The following is a 21,717-nucleotide window of genomic DNA, read 5'->3' as shown; positions in this document are numbered from 1 at the left end:
TCAGGAAACTTCCAATTATGGCAGAAGGTGAAGTAGAAGCAGGCATGTCCTACATGGCTTCAGCAGAAGGAAGAGAGCAAAGGGAAAGGTGCTACACACTTTGAAACAGCCAGATCTCACGATAATTCACTATCATGAGAATAGCAAGGGAAAAAATCTGCCCCCATGATCCAGTCACCTCCCTTCAGGCCCCTCCTTCAACACTGAGGATCACAATTTGACATGAGATTTGGGCAGGAACACAAATCCAAACAGTATCGCCATGAACAAACAAGGCTAACTCTCAATTTTCTGGAAGAGTTTCTAATCTGTTTAGGGCATGGACTGTTCTTGGCCAGAGGTTAGGCAGTCATGATTTACCCCTTCTTCTGGTAAAAGAAGGAAAGCAACAGTACATATATTATGGTACTACCAGGGAAGGAAACGTAAGTGAGAAAGCAATAAAATTTCATGAATAGTAAGCATATCCTTTAAGTACATTTTCAGCTTCATGCAGCCAGTGAGGTTTTTCTGAGGTGTGATTATTGCTAATTGAAAACTTCCCAATACCCGGTGGTGATGATTTGCAATACAGTTGGCATCGGAAAATTTTGACAATCTCTACAGATTGAATAAAGTAAAAAAAGAAAGAAATATAGTGAATTTTTAGCATGCAACTATTGTACATGATGAGGGTCCATTGAGTCTAAGGGAGACCCTACGAGTGAGTTAGCAGTAGCCTTCACTAATTTAGCTGAGTTGCTATTGCCCTGAGACAAGGAAGGTGCACTTTTGCCATTGGGTCAAGAGGAAAGCTGTAGCAAGTCTCTGATAAATGCTATAAAGCTGAGTCAGAATACTAAGGGCTTGTCCATCATTGCTTATATGCAAATAGGTAAAGTGGTTTAAAATACTTAAGATGACTCAGCATATGAAGATGTTAAAAATCTCATTTTAAATCATAAAATGCTGGCTCATATCTAGGCTCCCAAGGAAGAGTTTTGATTATTTAAAACTTGTTTAAATCAGATAGAGTCATGATGATTTTAGGACAGTTGGAATCCTCTTAATTGACTCTGAATAACTGGCCCAGAAAAGTTTGTTTGTGTTTGTTTTTGTTTTAGAGATGGGATCTTGGTTTTTTGCCCAGGCTGGAGTACAGTTGCTATTCACTGGAGCAATCCTAGACAGGCTGAAATTCCTGGGCTCAAGAGATCCTCCTGCTCCTGCCTCAGCCTCCTGAGAAGCTAGGACTACAGGTGTATATCATGGTGTGTAGCTTTGGCCTGGAAAACCGTTGAATGGCTTTTCCTCTGTCCTAAGTGGGGTATTTACTCTTGAATAAATCTTGATCTAAGTCACACAATCTGTTTTGAGAAAATTGTAACTTTCCTTCTAACTTTAAGTCCTTTCTGAGTTAAAACTGTAAGAACATAAATGACTAAGAGAGCTCAACTCATTTTTAGAATATAACAAGTGGTCATCTACATATGGGATACAAGTAGAGTTTCAAGGAAATTTAAGGTTCAGAAGGTCCTAATCATGAACTTGTGAAAAAAAGGTAAATCACTAAAGCATAACTGTCAAAGCATATCGTTGACTTTACCAGGAAAAAGTGAGCACGATTAACTATTTCAATCTACCCTAAGGAACCACTAAAGAGGGCATAGCACAGATTTCTAAGTCCAGAATATGTAACCCCACAAGAAAATAGTATTAGAGCTCAGTATACAGAAAGTTCAGGAATGGCAGTTTTGTTTATGACCCTGAGGTCCTAAACTAATATATATCATTGCAGATTGTGTTATTTGACGTAAGGACCAGTACAAGTTATGGTGAGTCTTTTTTTTTTTTTTTTTTTTTTTTTTTTTTCTGAGACGGAGTTTCGCTCTTGTTGCCCAGGCTGGATTGCAATGGCACAATCTCGGCTCACTGCAACCTCTGCCTCCTGGGTTCAAGCAATTCTCCTGCCTCAGCCTCCTGCATAGCTGGGATTATAGGCATGCAACCACCAAGCCCGGCTAATTTTTTTGTATTTTTAGTAGAGATGGGGTTTCTCCATGTTTGTCACGCTGGTCTCAAAACTTCCAACCTCAGGTGATCTGCCTGCCTCGGCCTCCCAAAGTGCTGGGATTACAGTCGTGAGCCACCACGCCCAGCCAGAGAGTCTTTTTTTTAAATTAGGCTTTCAACTATTGATTTTAGTTCTTTATCTACTGTTTTTAGAAGTTATTGTGCAAGCTTGAATATGTTTTGAATGTGTCAACATAACCTTGATAGATTCAGCCCTAAAAATTCTACTGAATTCTACAGATCAGAGTATGCCACCCCAAAATTTTCCTCTTTGACATAAGAATTATTTTAAGCTGAAGGCAATCAAGAAATAGCAGGCACAGAAAAGCTCTGTGCCCTCCCCCTACTTGCTTGAAAGCAGGGCATAAATTTTTGTTTAAGAAAACGTCCTCCCTTCACTCTTTCATACCAGGAAAATCCACAATTTACCACCCCTACAAGGCTGAACTCCCTTTCCTTTGTCTTGCCACTTCTTTATACTGCTGTTTGTTAAAATGGTATATAAAGCCTCCAAGTCTGTTTCTTTGTCTTCATTTTGTTTCTGTGGATGCCTCTGGGTGCATACATAACTATTTATCCTGCTAGCCTATTTTTGGTCAGTTTAATTTGCAGGGCCCCAGTTACTGAACCAACGAGGGTTGAAGAAAAGTTTTTCCTCCCCTACACTACGTATATCAGTAGAACTTTAAGTCCATAAGGAGGCCAGTACAGGACATTATAGAGACCTTCAATGTGAGCTTGATTTAGGCACAAGGATACCAGTACATTTTCAAACTAGCCTTGGCCTGTGTTTTAATAGGGAAGTCCCTATGGATCTCAAAGAAGAGGTGTTTAGTGGAGCAGTTAATCTGGCAGATTCATTTACACAATAGATCCCACCACCTGAGTAGTTTGTTGACCTTCTGGGAGATGTGATATCTCAGCACCTGAGTTAAAGGGAGGTATTCTAATACTCATCATCAAAAAAACATTTTCAAGACTGTTCTATAACATTGACATAAATTTTTCTCGTGAACTTAAGAGTAAAGCGGCCGGGCGCAGTGGTTCACACCTGTAATCCCAGCACTTTGGGAGGCCGAGGTGGGCGGATCACAAGGTCAGGAGATCGGGACCATCCTGGCTAACACAGTGAAACCCCATCTCTCCTGAAAATACAAAAAATTAGACGGGTGTGGTGGCAGGCACCTGTAGTCTCAGCTACTTGGGAGGCTGAGGCAGGAGAATGGCGTGAACCCGGAAGGCGGAGCTTGCAGTGAGCCGAGATCGCGCCACTGCACTCCAGCCTGGGCGACAGAGCGAGACTCCGTCTCAGAAAAAAAATAAAAATAAAAATAAAATGGTTAATTGGGTACTTGAGTCCCCCTTAGAGCAACTTTATTTTTTACTGACCTTTTCCCCCCTTCAGTTTGTTAACTAGCACAATTGTTTTTCCAATATCTTTTCTGTTTACAGTATTTACATACTTCTTTATCAAGGGTCTTCTTTCCCTGGATGCTTTTATTAGTTTTTATCTGTAAAGGCATAAGTTTATTCTAGGTCTGAGGGCTCTAGGCCCTTTGTTTGTTTGTTTGTTTTTAGACGGAGTTTCACTCTTGTTGCCCAGGCTGGAGTGCAATGGCGTGATCTCGGCTCACTGCAACCTCCACCTCCCAGGTTCAAGCGACTCTCCTGCCTCAGCCTCCCGAGTAGCTGGGATTTCAGGCATGCACCACCATGTCCGGCTAATTTTGTATTTTTAGTAGAAACGGGGTTTCTCCATGTTGGTCAGGTTGGTCTCGGACTGGACCTCCCGTGTTCCACCCACCTCAGCCTCCCAAAGTGCTGGAATTACAGGCGTGAGCCACCGCGCCCAGTGTCTAGGCCTCTTTCAAAAATTTCAGTTAGGTGTTAAAGATCTGGCCATAGGGCTATTCCCAATTTCAGTGTTTCCATGGGGAAGGCAGTGTTAAGCCCTATTTCTGGCTTAAGGCTGTTCACAAAAAGTGAGGAAAGCTTAAGGGTCATGTATGTTTCAGTATCTACTCTTGAAAGCTATCTGAAGTTATTAAAAAGACTATCCCTGACGTCTCCAGTTACTTCTTTTGGAAGACTCTTCATTCCCCTCCCCAAAGAAAGCAGACACTTGGACTTTGCTCACTTTTTGTTGTAAGATGTCTGTCAAATACACTATTCTTATCAAATATATCAAATCCCAGTATTCTTATAAAAAGTTCCCCACTATAATTCTGCAGGGTTCCTGCTAACGAGCTAATGTTTATTCCACTATAACCCTAATCTATAGACTTATCTTTCTAAGTGGCATAATTTTACCAAAAATAATTTAGAATTACAGCTAAGCTACTTCCAGATTCCTTACTTCCTAATTCAGAAACTGTGTGAGATAAAAAACGTCTGTTGTTTTAAGTTGCTATGTTTTAGGGTAATTTGATAGTGAACACAGTAATTTTTCTGCTGTCTATCTGTTTAAAGAGTAGTATATAATATTTAAGTACATTACCTTATCTTCATCATAAGTTTTTAAGACCAAGATTGGAATAGATATTTATTATTCATTCATTTACATTTTACAGGGTTAACTATGCCCTAGGTAGTATGCTTAATGTCTCATTCTGCCAACCTTTAATGAAGAGTTTAGAATGATGTTTGATAAAAAAAACTTAAATGCACACAGAAAGCACTTAATAAGAGTTGGGAATTATTATTATTATCATATGGATAAAAAGGTCAATAAATTATGTTTTTTGTCTCACAAGGTGGAGAGGTAAGAAAGAATCAGTGAATTAACAGCCATATAACACAAGATAAATTATTGTAATACATGCTAAATTCTTAAAATGATAGATGTATGTACACATTTTTGTGGGATCACAGAGGAAGAAGTGATTAATTCTTCGGGGAAGCATAAAGGGATGAGGTTGGGCCTTGAAAGTGGAATAAAATTTCCCAAGGCAGGGAAGGACATTCATTCATTCCATAAATATGGCACTGTGTCAGTGGTGGAAAAAAAAGCCCATCAACATTGTTCTACCTTCATGAATCTTAGAACTAGGAAGAGAGATAAGTAATGGACAAGTACACAAATAAATAAATAAATAAAGCAATTAAAAGTACTAGAAAAGAAGAAAGCGGCATGAAGAGGAGAGAATGACAGGAGAAATCTGCTTACATAAGATCACCATACATACAAAGGACTTCAGGAAAGAGTCAATATTTAAGCTTAGACCTGATGGATCAGAAGAACCAGATATTGAAACATGATGAGAAGAGAGGCTCAAGGTCCTGAGAAAAGTACAGTGCAACTGAACTGCAGAGCGTGTAATGAAAATGTTGAGGTATTAGGAAAAGGTTGTTATATGGTTTGATATGGTAACTTTTCAGAAGGACACATTATCTGAGCCAGGCAAATGGCTCCCTATCCATGTTGTCTGAGAATATTTTGTCCCATTACTCTGTTATTGTAATTTCCGTCCATCAGTAAGCTTGAGACAGAGACATAAGAATGCATCTGAGCTATTGTGATATACATCCAGAGCTTGAAACAGGGGACAAGAGATAATAATCTGGTAATCACAGCTGAGATCACAGAAAAGCTAGGGAATGGATGGGTCTCATCCATTATGGTAATGTACGGAAAATCCTATAGAGAAGAAATATATCTAATATTTACCAGATAACAGGATAGTACTATACCCCACAATTATTCAGTATATGTTTCTTTGGCTGTATTTTCTAGGTCACCTTAGTGATAATTGCAGACAGCTAGGTGTATGCAGAAAGACATCCTCAAGAACACATCAACATCATCCCAGTCAGAGACTCTCTTCTCACTTTCCCATAGTCTGTTCTAGGTCACCTCCCATCCTACTGCCATGGCTGATCAAGCTTGATTTCAAGCACTGGCAGAAGAATAAATATGTATATGTTGTTCTTTGTGGGTAGAGTGAGCTGGGAGGATCAGGGTCTGAGATTCTAACTAAGCACTGCCTAGCCCACAGGCTCAGAAACCACTGCCATATTTCCACCAGGAATCTTCCTCACATTAGTTTTCTAATGAAGTACACACTAATTCAGCAGTGGCTGCTTTCACCTAGGTGTCCTAAGCTTAAAGCAGAGATGCAAGTTCATTAACTGCTGTCTGGTAAAGGGGACAAATGTCCAAAAGCGATCCCTGCACGGTTCTGTGAATTATAAACCCTTGTAGAATTGGGAAAAGAGAAAACGATTCTCAGGTTCCTGATGTGGAGAAATGTATATGGTGCCTTTGGCAGTGACTCTGAAAGACTGAACATTTCTACTTGCTGTGAACAAGAACTGACATTTAACCAGACACATCTCCTGACACCAACATGTATGTTTTTCCTTTCTTGATTTTATTTCATTAACTCTCACCACATCTTCACTACCCTGAATGCTAGAACTCTGGAGGTAGTTACATTTCTGACCTTTAACACCACTGACTTTCACAAAAATTAAAACATTTCTCCCAAATTTCAAACACTACCAATTCCTGCATAGACTCAGGGTAGTCTTGTTTGAATTTCTCATTGCTTCTAGATGTCACTTGGAAGTCCAAGCCCTAATGTGATCTTTTTCTACCTGCCAGAAACGCGGCGCTCCTATGATGACATTCATCAGCCTCATTAGTCATGCTTTGGGAAGCATAGAGGGGAAAAAAAGATAAAAACCTTTGTAAAAGTTACTCTGAGTCAGAGACCTGATAATGAGACACAGAATACATTTTATATATTTCAAACTTCTTGGAGATAGAAATGTTGCATCTTTTTAACAAATGCATTAATAAAAAATTACCCCAGTTGTTTTCAATGTTGTACAGGGACCAGGCAGAAAGGATCATGTTCTTTGCATTTCCTCTCTGAGAAGAAAGTATCCCAGTAATTGCTTTGCATCAAAGAAAAGACACATTTTTTTTTTAAATAATGCTGGAAATTGCTAAGTATGAGGAAGTGGAGACTTTCAAGATAGCCATATTTTGAAAGTTATTTAATACTGAATAAAATGGAGAATTTGAAGAATCTTGACTTTATTAAATAGACAATGAATTCAGAGGTGATTTCTTCTGAGTTGGAGTTCTGGAAATAAAAACAACTTGCCAATGATAGAACTTCTGAAAAGGAAAATCCCAATATTGTTCTAGTCTTAGACTGGTGGGGACTAAGTTAGAAGCATCTGATAAATAAAAGCACAAATTTTTAGGAAAAATTAGTTTTGAGTCCATTTTTCCTTTTTGCTGCACTAATGCTATACTACCATCATCATCACTGTTATTATCACCATCATCACCACCACCACCACCACCATCATCATCATCATCATCATCAGTATTTGTGGATCAGGCACTGTGCCAAGTACACATTTTGCATGGTCTCATTTAGTCCTCTCCAATGATATATCAATATCAGCCTCATTTTACAGTTGAGATAACAAAGCTGTAATAGAAATTAGGTAGCTTGCCCAAGATCACACAGATGCCAAAAGGGAGAGCCAGGATTCAAACTCAGACTGTTTGGTTCCAAAGATCTTATTCTATGCCTCTTTTCTCTAGATTATCCCTCATAAGGAACCAAATTCATTCTAATAAGCTAGTAAGCTATTATATCCCTGTCCCCTTTTTTAATACCTTGTGTAGCCTTCTGAATATTTTATTTCCTACAATTTTAAAAACTTCCATATGATGGGACACTCAATACATTTTTTTTTTACAACTGGAATACATTCAGAGAGATGGAAATTCTAATTTTTTTTTTAAAAAAGGCTACAGATTCTATTGTATATATTCTTTGAATATTTCAAACTCTCTTGGCTATCTCTAAGTCCCACTTCTGTACTCCATACTGTAGGATAGACCTCTCCCCTTACCTTCCTGAAATATCTCCCTATTTTGCAAAGCAACAAAGCTTCCCTTACGTTTTTTTCTTTTACTGAATTTTAAGAAAATTCTGATTAATTTAAATCAGTAAAATAATTAAATTAAACTAAATTAGGTAAACTTCAATTTTAGATAAATAAAAATGTAAAGAATCATCTAAATTTCAGGTCTCTTCTCATACTCAATACAAAATGTAAGATGTATAGAAGAGGAATGTAGGAAGGAACTGATAATCCTCCCCCCCGTTCATTCTCCCTTTCCTCATTTTAATAATAAAATCTCTGTCCCAGGTTTTAGAAGGCATGGCTGCTCAGCAAGAGGTTCCTCTGCAGTTAATTTCTTACCAAAAGAATATACAAACTTGATGTGTGCAACTTCTATCTCATTTTATTCAAATGTATGTGCTTGCCCTTTACTTTTCTCTTCTCCATCCCACAGGTTGACCACTATGAAGAGGACACTCTAGGGAATGGCAGAATAAATGGTAGAATAAGTATAATAATAATATAAAATAATAATAGAGTAAAAATAATGGTAGAATAAATATAAGTCCCTGGACAATTTCATGGGCTACCTCCTGATGGCTACAAGAAAGAAAATAAATTATCTTATTGGAACTACAGTATTTGGGGGTTTCTCTGTTACAGTGGCTTAGCCGACACCCTAATAGTTTTAAATTCAGTACCAGAATATTATGGACTAAGTTGTAGACCCCCAAAATTTATAGGTTGAAGGCCAAAGCCCCAATGTAACTATATTGGAAGATAGGGCCTTTCAGGAGATAATTAAGGTTAAATGAAATCATAGAGAGGGGCCCTAATCTTATAAGACTGGTGTCCTTATAAGAGAACACTGGAACACACAGGGAGACATTAGGGGCACAAGTGCCTAGTGTAAGGACACAGCAAGAAGGGAGCCATCTGCAAGCCAAGGAGAGAGGCCTCAGGAGAAACCAAACTTGCCAACACTTTGACCTTGAACTTTTGGCCCTCAGAACTGTTAAAAAACAAATTTTGGTTGTTTAAGCCACCCAGTCTTTGCTATTTGTTATGCAGCTCTAGCTGACTGATACGTAGGAATGGAAAAGTGCCATCATAACAAAAATCTAAAATATGTGGCTCTGGTATTGTGTTGCCAGGCAACCGGCAGTGTGGAAACAGATATTGCAGGATGAAAAACTAGAGACCCTTGTTATGTTTTGACCAATCACTAGGTAAAACTGACACCAGCAACAATTTGAAAGGCAGACTAGCTATGGGGAAAGCAGTTAGAACCAGAGTGGTTAATGTATATTGGTGGCTCCTTGCTGATGTTTTTAGTGAGGTACTATCAAAAGTAGTTGCTGTAAGATCAAAAAATAAAAAGTTTGCAAGTAGATAACACCATGCCCTGAAGTACAATTGCTTCTGCATTCAAGGGAGCAGGAGATGTGACTATTATTCAGTTTTGTTCAATAGTCACCACTGTGGCTGGGTGCAGAGGCTCACGCCTGTAATCTCAGCACTTTGGGACGCCGAGATGGGGGGATCACCAAAGGTCAGGAGTTCACGATCAACCTGGCCAACATAGTGAAACCCTGTCTTTACTAAAAAATACAAAAATTAGCCAGCAGAAGCCTGTAATCTAAGTTATTCAGGAGGCTGAGGCAAGAAAATTGCTTGAACCGGGAGGCAGGGGTTGCAGTGAGCCAAGATTACGCCACTGCATTCCAGCCTGAGTGACAGAGCAAGACTCCGTCTCAAAAAAAAAAAAAAAAAAAAGTCTCCATTGTGTTACTGGTCAGACAATGGGAGTCATTTCGGCAGAAAAGATCAGATGAAGAATGTTGCATCACCACTTAAACTCATTGTTGGAGAAGACTTCAAGATGGCTGCCATTAATTTGAGGGACAGAGGTATGGGCCAGGCACAGTGACTAATAAATAACACATTGCTGGCTTAAAGAACTATAACTAGAACAGCTCTTTGGCTGTGGCTACTTTCACATGAACTGACTGAAAGCAAATGAACCAGAAACCTCTAGTATTTTTGATAAAATGATGTCACCAATGCTATGATGACCCTTAAGATGTCAGATGAACTTCCTCCTCCCAAAATTCATAGAAAATTACCACGAATTCAGTTCGGATGCTGAGACTGATAATGCCACACACACAAGAAATGGGTATAAAAAGGTTTATTACTCACATACTGAGACTTTCCAGGGAGATAGGGCAGGCTCCCAGGAGGGTCGAGAAACGGCTTAATTGGTTTGGCTTTTATCCGTCTTAGAGTGTGAGGCTGGGGTGAAGCTTCCTGCATGCATGCCAGGGCTTGCGTGATTTGAACTTCCTGCTGGGGCCAAAGGAGGAGGCACCCATGCTTCCATCAGCTTGCCCAGATGTGCAGCATAAGGGAGAAGGGAAAGGTGAGTCTTGAAAGATGTCAGCAGTCAAACATTAAAAACGGCATTGACGTCTTTATTACAGTCAAATGAACTAAAACCCCGGCCTATAAAAGCGTATATTTTTCAGTCTCTAAGGCAATCTAGGTCTAAAAGTCTGCACCAGCAAGCAGGGGCTGCAAAAGCTGCGATGTCCCTCAAAAGTTTCAGACGGGGCCACAGAAGCTGACGAGCAAGACTTTCCTAGAGGTCAAACTAGTGGCCACAGAAGACAATGGACAAGGGAGTTTCTCCTAGATAGCAGATTCATGATTTCACCAAGGAACACTTTCTGCTGGGCAAGGGATCTCCATCATGCCTGCTCAGCAGATTATCACGGCATGGGCCATTGGCTGCTATCATTTTTGTCTTTAACTCTAGTATTCATTCCCCTCTTTTTAGCTTTAGTAATAGAACCCTTTCCCTGGAGTTTTAGTAGGGCACATGTCCATCTAGTTAGAGACACGTCCCAGGCTTTCTTGAAGCTAGGTATAGCTATATAGTAAGTATTCATGAATGGACGGTGGGCAGAAGTGATGGCTGTAATTTCCTAAAAAGGAAATGGCTTGCTCCACCTTCTTCTTTTTTCACAGGCTAGGAAGTCTTGAGCCAGCTTTGACCATGGAAAGAACAATACCCTTGGGTATTAAGAGAACTAACAAGGTAGATGACTCCTATATCCCTTGAATACCTTGTGAAATGAAGCCACTTCTGGATTGCTATGTGAGAAAAAAATAAATTATCTTACATGAGCCATCATATTTTGGGGTCTCTTTGTTACAGCAGTTTAGATCATTTTCTGATTTATACAAAAAGAGAATGAAAACATTAAGAAGGTAAGCTTATTTACCTTTTATGACCTTAAAATGTCCTCTGCTTGTTCTTTTGGGTTTTACCTTTAACAAGTATAAATAAGGTGCTTCAAATTTAATTGGCTGTAAGCAAGTAAGACCTTAAGACTACATGTGACCTTATGAATTCAGTGTGCTTCTCCCCTTTTCCAAAAATCAACCTACAGAATACAGTTGCATATACTTTTTCGGGATAAATGGAAGCGTTTAGTGTAAATGCATGAATATCAAACTGATAAATGAAAACTAAGATTGATATATATCAACTTCCCCTTTTTTCAACACAAATGTATATCCATGCACTATTCTAATCTACTACTCTGTAATCAATTAATCATAGACAACTGAATAAAGATAAAATGGATAAAGCAGACTTCGTCTCCCATAATGTGATGCAGAGATGATTATTTCTCGGACTCCCAGTTTCGTGTTACTCTATGCTTCAGAATAGTTCACTGTGTTGCTAAGACAACAAGGATGCTGCAACCGGAAACTGGGATTGAAGTCAAGGCACTGGAGCTGCCTCAAAAGATGTCATAAATAGTGTGTTCAAGGCCTTTTTCACAGTGAAACTGTAACTTTTGAATTAGAAAAAAAATTATTGGAGCCAAGCACGGTGGTGCACACCAGTAACCCCAGATACTTGGGAGGCTGAGGGAGGGGGATCGCTTGAGCCCAGGAGCTTGAGGCTGCAGTGTGCTATGATCATACCTGTGAATAGCTACTGCACTCCATCCTGGGCAACATAGCAAGATACCCATCTGTTAAAAAACAAAACACAAAAATAAACAGAAGAAGATTATACTCAATTCAACACCTTTCCACAGACTATGATTTTCAGTTATTCACATTCTAAGATTAAGAAAACATTGGCCTGTAATCCCAGCACTTTGGGAGGTGAAGTGGGCAGATCACAAGGTCAGGAGATTGAGACCATCCTGGCTAACACGGTGAAACCCCGTCTCTACTAAAAATACAAAAAAATTAGCCAGGCGTGGTGGTGCGTGCCTGTAGTCCCAGCTACTCGGGAGGCTGAGGCAGAGGAATGACTTGAACCCAGGAGGTGGAGACTGTAGTGAGCCGAGATCGTGCCACTGCACTCCAGCCTGGCAACAGAGTGAGACACCATCTCAAAAAAAAAAAAAAAAAAGAAAAAAGAAAACATTGGTATGTGGACTAAAGGTCAGGAAACCATCACTCCATATATACATATTACAGCTCCATGGAAATAACTGAGGGGAACTTGTCTTTAAATTCCAGTTTACCTTTATTCTAATAGAGGCATGTCTGAAGAGTATCAGAAGAAAACAAATGAAATTAGGTTGTCAGTTTTTCCTCCACTAACGATGTACATCTCACCTAAACAAAGGTTTGATTCTATGTAGTAAATAGGTTTGATGTTCACTGAGACCTGCGATTTGATACTTGGAATTTGAGTTTATAAAAAGATACAAAGAAATATGGTCTTCTCAATCAACTTTTGATAAAGGCACAGAAAGCTCATCAGTAGCAATGATGTGAGCTGGGTTGCATCTCCAGGTTTGTCTAAGCAAACTGCACAATGGCAGCAATCCTCCTGGTTTTAATACTCATAACATCAAGGCAAGGACAAAGAAAAAAAAATGCTTGAACTGATTTTGTTGTTTTTTTCTGACCTACAAAAAAAAAAAAAAATGAAAACAGCGTTTCACTAAGCTGAAGAGTGTCCTTCACATCATGTATATTGTATTGCACACAAACTTTTTTAACTCCGTCAAAAACAACAAGAACAGATGAATAAGGAAGCCCAGTGCTTTTTGAGATAGAAGCCTTCTTCAGAATCACCTCCCTCTCTTAAGAAGTAATCTGGTGAAAAATAATGGTTAGGCAAAGGCAGGTGTTGGAGGATATGTTTTCCCAATCTTTTAGAATCTCTTGCTTAAGAGACACAGAGGTGACTGGAGACTGAGTTACCAGTATACTATTCATTTTCCAAGCAGACGTCAAAAGATACTCTTTAATAGTGGAAACTGAGGGTTACACAGTAAGGTTCAGACTTCAGCAGGAATCCTTGTTGTCAAGTAAAAGTTTAACCTAGCAGAAGCAAATGAGACCCAGATGTCCTCACCTTTTTTTTTTTTTTAAACCCTGGTGTTCTAAGCATAAAAAAGGAAATAGAAAATAACACAGACCACTCTATTTTAATATTTTTAAGTAGCATAAATCATAATGGTTTGTATACTACACTGTACAAATAATATACTGTTACTTTTGAAAGAAAATGAACTTCTTATAGGGTTTTCTGAAATAGTTACTCCATACAGCTAAGATCTTGACCCTTTAGCCATTGCTACAGCAGATGGAATACAAGCTTTGAGGTTCCAAGTCTTCCAGTTGTGCCTGTTTCTGTTGCCACTGAGGGATGAGCCTCTCAGAGCCCTGTCGTGGCCCTGTCCATCTCCTGCGCCAGGAAACACAGGTTCCGCAGGTGGACGCGTGCCGATGAGTACAGCTTCTGTACTTTGCTTTCTACAAGCCTCCTTCCCCTTTAAGAGAACTTGCGCTTCTTCATGGCTTCCGCCTTGACCGCCAAGCTCTTGGCACAGATGGTCAGGACCACAATGAGAACGCCCACCACAAATGTCACCAGGGGCCAGAGGAAGCAATGCAGGAGGACAATCTCATCATGAGTGCGATGCAGAAGCACATCATCTGGTCTGCAAGACAATGGAGAATAAGAAAGAAAGGGCAGTCAAATGCCTTGGCACTGAAAAACTCTTTACAACCTAAAGCCAAACTTGCTTTCCATAACCATTATTGAAAGTAAAGGCTGCACTCTGACTATAAACACTGTATTTTTGTGCTTCAAACCCATTACAGAAAGTTTTGAGCTCTTGAGTCAAGTAATTGGTGCAAATTTATGTATTAATTATAATTTACATGTTACAAAGTGTCAAAAATGTATCTCTTATGCTATGATTTTTCTTCATTCTAAGTTACTTAATGTATTCCACTTTCTCATTCATCCTCTAATGTCCATTGGTCAAGGGGCTTGAATCAGTCAAAAAATTACTGATGGGTGAGCATTCTCCAACAAATCTGAACTAGACCTCAGCTCATAGGTGTGGCCCAAATGATCTTAATTCAGATAAAAAAAAAAAAAGGTCAGTTAAAGCCACTGCTTGAATTTAGTCAGAAAGACAGCTGGTGTAATTCTCAGGGCAACTCAGCTTCACTATGTAAGCTACAGGTTTTTATTAATAAGCAGACAATGGCTGAATGAGTGCCTTTTTCCATGCTTCTGGGTGAAATTAGCCGTCATTTTAAAACACTGACCACTTTCTTAATAAATCTTGCAAAGTCCTAGCAATAGATTTCTGTCTTGTCAATGTGAGGCTCTATTTTTCAATTCCTGCATTGGTCCCATTCACAGAAAGTGAAGATGAGATGTGCTCCACAAGCCATGATCTCTAATCTTCGGCCATTAGAAAGAGATCCTGGAAATCTAACTTTTTTCTTTTTTTTTTTTTTTTTTGAGATGGAGTCTCACTCTGTCACCTAGGCTGGAGCGCAGTGGTGCCATCTTGGCTCACTGCAAGCTCCGCCTCCTGGGTTCATGCCATTCTCCTGCCTCAGCCTCCTGAGTAGCTGGGACTACAGGCGCCCGCCACCACGTCCAGCTAATTTTTTTGTATTTTTAGTAGAGACGGGGTTTCACCATGTTAGCCCGGATGGTCTCGATCTCCTGACCTCGTGATCCGCCCTCCTCGGCCTCCCAAAGTGCTGGCATTACAGGCGTGAGTCACCGCACCCGGCCGGAATTTTAACTTTTTAATACAAGAGGTTTACATTTTGTAAGATATTTCCGTTTCATCCACAAGGTTTGCCCTGCTACACTAGAGTAGCTATGTTTCCTCCAGGAAAAAAATGAAAATAATGCAGAATAATGAGTCCAACTGCCCTTAAGAACATCAAAGCCTTCAGAGCACAAGGGCAGTGCATCTAACACAGAAATGCATTCCTGAAAATCACTCATTAGTCACAGCTCTCATAATTCAGAACCCATTTTCCCTGAAGATTGACAAAGGGTGTTGGGTATTTCTTTTTACTTATAGTGGAGCTATCATGTGCCATTAACATAAATAGTTTTACAGACTGGCTTTGAAATTACAAAATCCTTGCATTTTTTCCTTTGATGCACAGTGTAATTTCAAATTTTGCACATAATACAAGATTTCTATTGATGTTTTATTTCATAGTATTTCAAATAAAATTTATATTAAGTAAACGCAGTCATTTTAACAATTAGGCAACAATCATCCCAGCTTTCAGAAATTGCCTTTTTTTGGAATTCTTATAGCACGAAATTATCTCCAAGACTTGTGCTACCATTAGTATATGTGTATACATTGATGTATATATTCTTTTCTTCTGTAAGGCCCATTAGGGCTATGACATTGTCATTGCTGCTATTCTACAAATAGATGTTGCTACTGAGAAAGAGGAGCCTGCCTCTGTTGCAGCCTTATTATCCATGCAAATTTTCAAGAAACTTCATGCTTGTCTAAAAAGTCTAAAAAAGTCAAGGCTGAGGTCTAAAAAAAGAGTCAGGACACAGGATAGAAAGAATCATATTTAAGAGTCTGAAATCCCCATCCCAGCACTGCCGTGATTCTTTTCCCAGGTACAGTGCTCATAGCTGTCAAAAACCTCTCCCTAAGTGTGAGGGAAGGTAAAAGCTGTCTCTCAGGTTGCTCTTTCCTTCTTTCTGTGAAGGACTATTATGCTCCTCCATAATCTACTGATACAAAAATGAGTCTTAAATTCTTCATCAAAATGGCTAAGGGTGCACAACAATGTGAATTTTACTTAGTATCACTGAAGTGTACATTTTAAAATGGTTAAGATGGCTGGGCGTAGTGGCTCATGCCTGTAATCCCAGCACTTTGGGAGACAGAGGCGGGCAGGATGCTTGAGATGAGGAGTTCAAGACCAGCCTGGGCAACATAGCGAAACCCTGTCTCTACAAAAAACTACATGCCTGTAGACCTAGTTATTTGGGAGGCTGAGGTGGGAGATCTCTCGAGCCCAGGAGGTCGAGGCTGCAGTGAGCCACGATCAAGCTGCTGCACTCCAGCTTGGGTGACAGAGTGACACCCTGCCTCCAAAAGAAAAAAAAATGGTTTTGATGTTAAAAAAAAGAAAAAGGATTCAGGGTGAGGGACTTGGATTTTTTAACATTATTTTAATAAATGTGCATGTAATTTCCATAAGTAATATGTTTTTGCAACTAATTTTCTAGTAAAATGCTTCAGCGTGGATCCTCGTTTGTATTCATACTCCAGTCACTCTTAACTGATGTTGAATGCTTTCACAATATTGTGCAATTGAGCCAGAAAAATAGCCCAGATGACAGTGGTGGGAATCATACATATTTTCTGAAACACAGTTTGAAGAACATGTACCAAAAAAGAATGTGAGTAAAAAGAAGAGGAGGAGAGAAAAATAATAACTGGAAAATGCTGGACCCAGATATTTGTTTTATTCAGAAACTTCTTGGCATTCCACCTCCTACCAGAGCGCTTGGAGTAAAACTTTATTTTAATATCTTAAATGACAAAACAACATCAGTCCCTCCGAGTTAGCTATACTGAATTTGTAATTACTTCAAAAGCGTTCTTTGAGGTGCAAATGTTATATATAAATGTACACATTTCTTTAAAAATAATTCATGTCCGTTTCCACTTCCTACAGCTCTAAGGTGCTCCATAATCTCCTTCAACAGGAAAATCATTTCTCTGCACAGTAATGCTCACGCTTATCATTCAGTTTTTTGATTTAGTGAGATTATCTCTAAATTGCTTCTTGTGTCCTAATTAAAGTCTAGCTCATTCAAACTGGGCTTGTAGTGCCTTAATTGAAGGCACTCCCCTGTCTCAGTTTCCTCCAATTTTATCAGGCAGGCAGTTTTCAGATTGTTTAGCCAAAAACTATTTGCAAAGGGGTTTGGGCTTAGAATTCAATTTGCCGTAATTATATGGTAGGGAATGAACTACAATTTCTTTATAAATAATCACTGTTTGCCACATGTGGCAAACTGGATAAATGGCATGACGGGAGCTGACATAATAAAACCAGGATGGTGACAAGAATATGTGGACAATAAGCAAAAAAGGGGTAATTACTCTATATCTAGGGACTTCAAAAAAGCAAGCAAGAGATTTCTCTTGGAGTATGCAGGAACACAAATGAAAAACACTTTTAAGCCCTGGGTCAGGGCTACAAAAGAAGAGTAAATACTGTGGGTACCCATAGAAAAACTTCCCTAAGCACTGGCACTACCCTGAGTCAAGGTTTGAAAATATGTGGTGATAATAATGACAGTCAGCATTTATTATGTGCTTTCTATCCTCCCGGTGCTGTGGTAGGACATTCAGACTCATTTGATCCTTAAAATGACCCTTTGCTCAAGTAATTTTTAATTTTCACTTTATAATGGAAGAAACTGAGGTAAAAAAGATTAGTTTCCCCAGGATTACACAATTTAAAATAATGACATGATTTGAAACCCTGTCTGTAAGATTTTTTAAATTGTACTATTTATTTACCCTTAAGCCAGCTTTTCTCAAATTTGAATCACTTAACGGTGCTTGTTGAAGTACAGTTCCCTGGTTTTCAACCCTTGATTTACTATAATCAGCATCTGAGTTTGTGGGATCCAGAAATCTGCATTTTGGAGAAGCTCTGAGATGATTCTTATGTGCACTTCGGTTTAAGAAGCATTGTGTAAAGTTCTAATAGTTAAAAAAATGAAATATGAAATGCAATGCTACTTAGCTAGCTATTTCCCAAACTGCCTAATTGACACTTATGTTCAGGTCATTTTCTTTTTTTCTTTTTTTTTTTTTGAGACGGAATCTCGCTCTGTCACCCAGGCTGGAGTGCAGTGGCACGATCTTGGCTCACTGCAACCTCCGCCTCCTGGGTTCAAGCGATTCTCCTGCCTCAGCCTCCTGGGTAGCTGGGACTACAGGCGCCTGCCACCACACCCCACTAATTTTTGTACTTTTAGTAGAGATGGGGTTTCACCATATTTGGCCAGGCTGGTCTTGAACTCCTGACCTTGTGATCCACCCGCCTCAGCCTCCCAAAGTGCTGGGATTACAGACGTGAGCCACCCCGCCTGGCCTGTTCAGGTCATTTTCATGATCTCTACATATTTTTGTGTAGAGATGGGGTTTTACTATGTTGCCCAGGCTGGTCTTGAACTCTTGAGCTTAAGCAATCCGCCTGCCTCGGCCCCCCAAACTACTGGGATTATGGGCGTGAGCCACTGCGCCCAGCTAAAAATGCTTTTTAAATATCAAATGCATCAGCCTAGTTTTTGACAATGGCTGAAGAGCAAATCGTTCAAGACTCAAATCACTGAGGTGCCTGAAGTGTCCTATGTTTCTGGGTGAGGGTGTCCCATCAGGTTAGATTCCTAACATGGAGGTGGCACAATGATTTTTTTATAATGAAAACCAAAGAAGACCTGACATGTGATCTTTCCCAGATAACTTTGCTTGAGGCTGGGTTTCAGAGAGCCTCAGAAAGTCTTCTACAGAAATGTCAAGTGTATAAACAAATCTTTAAATGAGATGCCACAAGTGAAAGAGGTGCCTATGTCATAGGTTTTCAGGCAAAAGTTACTGACCACGATATGTAATCTAGAAAGCCTTGATGCGAGTATTATTCAGTGTTTTGTTTTGTTTTTGTTTTTTTGAGATGGGGTCTTGCTCTGTCGCCCAGGCTGAAGTGCAATGGCCCGATCTCGGCTCACTGCAAGCTCTGCCTCCTGAGTTTACGCCATTCTCCTGCCTCAGCCTCCCGAGTAGCTGGGACTACAGGCGCCCACCACCACACCTGGCTAATTTTTTTTGTGTTTTTAGTAGAGACGGGGTTTCACTGTGTTAGCCAGGATGGTCTTGATCTCCTGACCTTGTGATCTGCCCACCTCGGCCTCTCTAAGTGCTGGGATTACAGGCATGAGCCACCACACCTGGCCTCAATGTTTTTTGTTTTTTTGGCAAAACTCCATGCTATGGGATTTCTGGAAAGAGATTGTATTAAAACACAACCCATGAAAATATCTGACTTGATCTATTGATTCATGACTTTTAAAAGATTTCCAAGATGTTTTCTACTGAAAGATGTTAACAATTAACTGAGAAAAGTGTTGGATTTGGTTTTGGCATAACTGAGCTGATCTTACTGAGAGTAATTAGCCAGTGTGTCTAGTTGTTGTTTGAGGCAATCGTAAGACCTTGCCAAGAGAGCAGCAGAGCGTGCTTGTCTTCCTATGCAATCACAGGAAGGCAACCTAAAAGCTATATCAAGTTATGTTATAAATTATAGTGGGACTACAGAGACCAGAACACAGAGACCCTTTGTAGTATTCTTTTTTTTTTTGAGACGGAGTTTTGCTCTTGTCGCCCAGGCTGGAGTGCAGTGGCACGATCTCGGCTCACTGCAGCCTCTGCCTCCTGGGTTCAAGCGATTCTCCTGCCTCAGCCTCCTGAGTAGCTGGGATTACAGGCGTGTGCCACCACATCCGGCTAATTTTTGTACGTTTAGTAGAGACAAGGTTTTGTCACGTTGGCCAGGCTGGTCTCAAACTCCTGATTTCAACTGATCCCCTTGCCTCAGCCTCCCAAATTGCTGGGATTACAGGCATGCCCTGCCGCACCCAGCCTTTGCAATATTTTTTTTTTTTTTTTCTGAGATGGAGTCTCGCTCTGTTGCCCAGGCTGGACTGCAGTGGCGCGATCTCGGCTCACCTTTGCAGTATTCTTTACATTGAACTGCTCTGTTGTGGGGATCCACTCAGAACTCCAGCATTGGTTTCAAGATTATCTTAAGCTGAAGACATTTTAGATTCAACAAGTGCTAAACAAAGCTTTCTTGGATCTTCCCTTATCTGACTAAAAGCAGTAGCTTCTGAGATTTGAGGCTACTGTAAATCCCTTCTCCAGGGGAATTTTGTGGCCCTGAGGGAGACAGAAAGACCACTAATACTCATAAAGAAAAACATTACCACTAACTTGTCCTCCTAAAAAGCCATTTGTCCTTCCCATAGGAAACTTTTCTTCCTCTCCCTTTTCCCTACTAAGTTAGGTAGACAAGCCCTGAGTCTAAACACTTCTTATATACTACTGTGAAGCCCCATGCTCATAAAAATGTTAACATTGATAAAATGTGTATGCTTTTTCTCTGGTTAATTTACCTTTTGTCAGTTTAATTCACAGGCCCCAGCCACTAAACCTGAAATGTAAAGGAAAAGTATTTTGTTTGTTTGTTTTTGTCCCCTACAGTATCATGAGCCAATTTTTGCCCACTGGGGTCTACCAATGATATTGTGATAAGGGCTTTTAAAAGCTTGGGAGGTGGCCATGCACAGTGGTTCATGCCTGTAATCCCAGCACTTTGGGAGGTCGAGGAGGGAGGACTGCTTGAGCCCAGACCAAGACCAGCCTGGGCAACATAGGGAGACCCTGTCTCTACAAAATATAAAAAAATTCGATGGGCGTGGTGGCATACGCCTGTAGTCTTGGCTATTTAGGGGCTGAGGTGAAAGTATCGCTTGAGCCTAGGAGGTTGAGGCTGCAGTGGGCCTACAGTGAGCCAAGATTGCACCACGGCATTCCAGCCTGGGCGACAGACTGAGACCTTCTCCAAAAAAAAAAGATGAAAAAGAAAAAGGCTAGGGAGGTATTATAACAAGATTATGGTTTGCTCCACAGATGCTTCCTATCTATGAACGAAAGGCTGATTATAGATGTATGAATGTTATAAACAGCCTTACATTTTCCTTAGCTGTTTTCTCAAAGTAGGTTAATTTTAAGTACTAATGTTTAATTGTACAAGAGTTGCTGCCCATCAAGCTTGCCTATTCTTCATGGAGAAAATTAAATCAAGCCCCAAACTTGCAGTTTTTGGAGAGAAAAATTTGCATTCAGTTTTGGCAGGATATCCAGAAAACTGGCAGGTATGTTATTTTGGAGAAATAAAGTGTTATATATGTATCTCAGGTACAGCAAGGAAAAAAATAATTCAGTAGCACTAGACCCATGATTAGGACTACAAATAGAAGTTATACCCCAAACTTATCCCACAAACTATCATTTAACAGCATTAAATTCTTACGGTAGCTGGGTTTGGCAAATGTTTTCCTACTGATTAAGATGACCGTCCCTTCAGATGCAGCCCAGTGAAGTAATTGTCTCAACCAAGTCTCCTAAAGTAGAGGCCTGGGGAAACCGTCGCCACTCTGTGCTCCCAGAGTAATAGACTTTTTAAAAGGTTTTACTCACACTGTGTGGTAATTATTTTTTATCCATCTGTCGGTTTTCCCAATGTGATTCTTAAAACCCTGAGATCGGGGGCCTATTAAGGATAACCCCTGCCGGAGATGCTTCCTGAGTTCTCAGAAATAAAGAGGGGTAATCATCAAGACCTGCAAACCAGAAGGATGCTTATGACTTTCTG

The 21,717-nt window shown here is 40.0% G+C and overlaps 1 protein-coding gene and 1 pseudogene across 2 annotated transcripts in view; one reads left to right on the top strand and one right to left on the bottom strand.

Annotated features, from left to right (window-relative positions):
* RNU4-65P (RNA, U4 small nuclear 65, pseudogene) lies at window positions 469–608 on the top strand (annotated as a pseudogene).
* KCNMB4 (potassium calcium-activated channel subfamily M regulatory beta subunit 4) overlaps window positions 10,100–21,717 on the bottom strand; it is a 68,003-nt gene continuing 56,385 nt past the window's right edge. The window contains exon 3 of one of the 2 annotated variants that reach the window (NM_014505.6): window positions 10,100–13,907. In NM_014505.6, coding sequence (NP_055320.4) covers window positions 13,739–13,907 — 169 coding nt within the window. In that variant the 3' untranslated portion in view covers window positions 10,100–13,738. Of the gene's footprint in view, window positions 13,908–21,545; window positions 21,686–21,717 lie in introns of those variants that run through there. The other variant, XM_047428701.1, reaches the window with a different exon arrangement.

This window comes from Homo sapiens, chromosome 12 (genome assembly GCF_000001405.40).
Source record: "Homo sapiens chromosome 12, GRCh38.p14 Primary Assembly".
Classification (NCBI taxonomy): Eukaryota; Metazoa; Chordata; class Mammalia; order Primates; family Hominidae; genus Homo; species Homo sapiens.
Note: the sequence above shows the minus strand (reverse complement) of the source record. Positions and strands in the feature narration are given on the sequence as shown.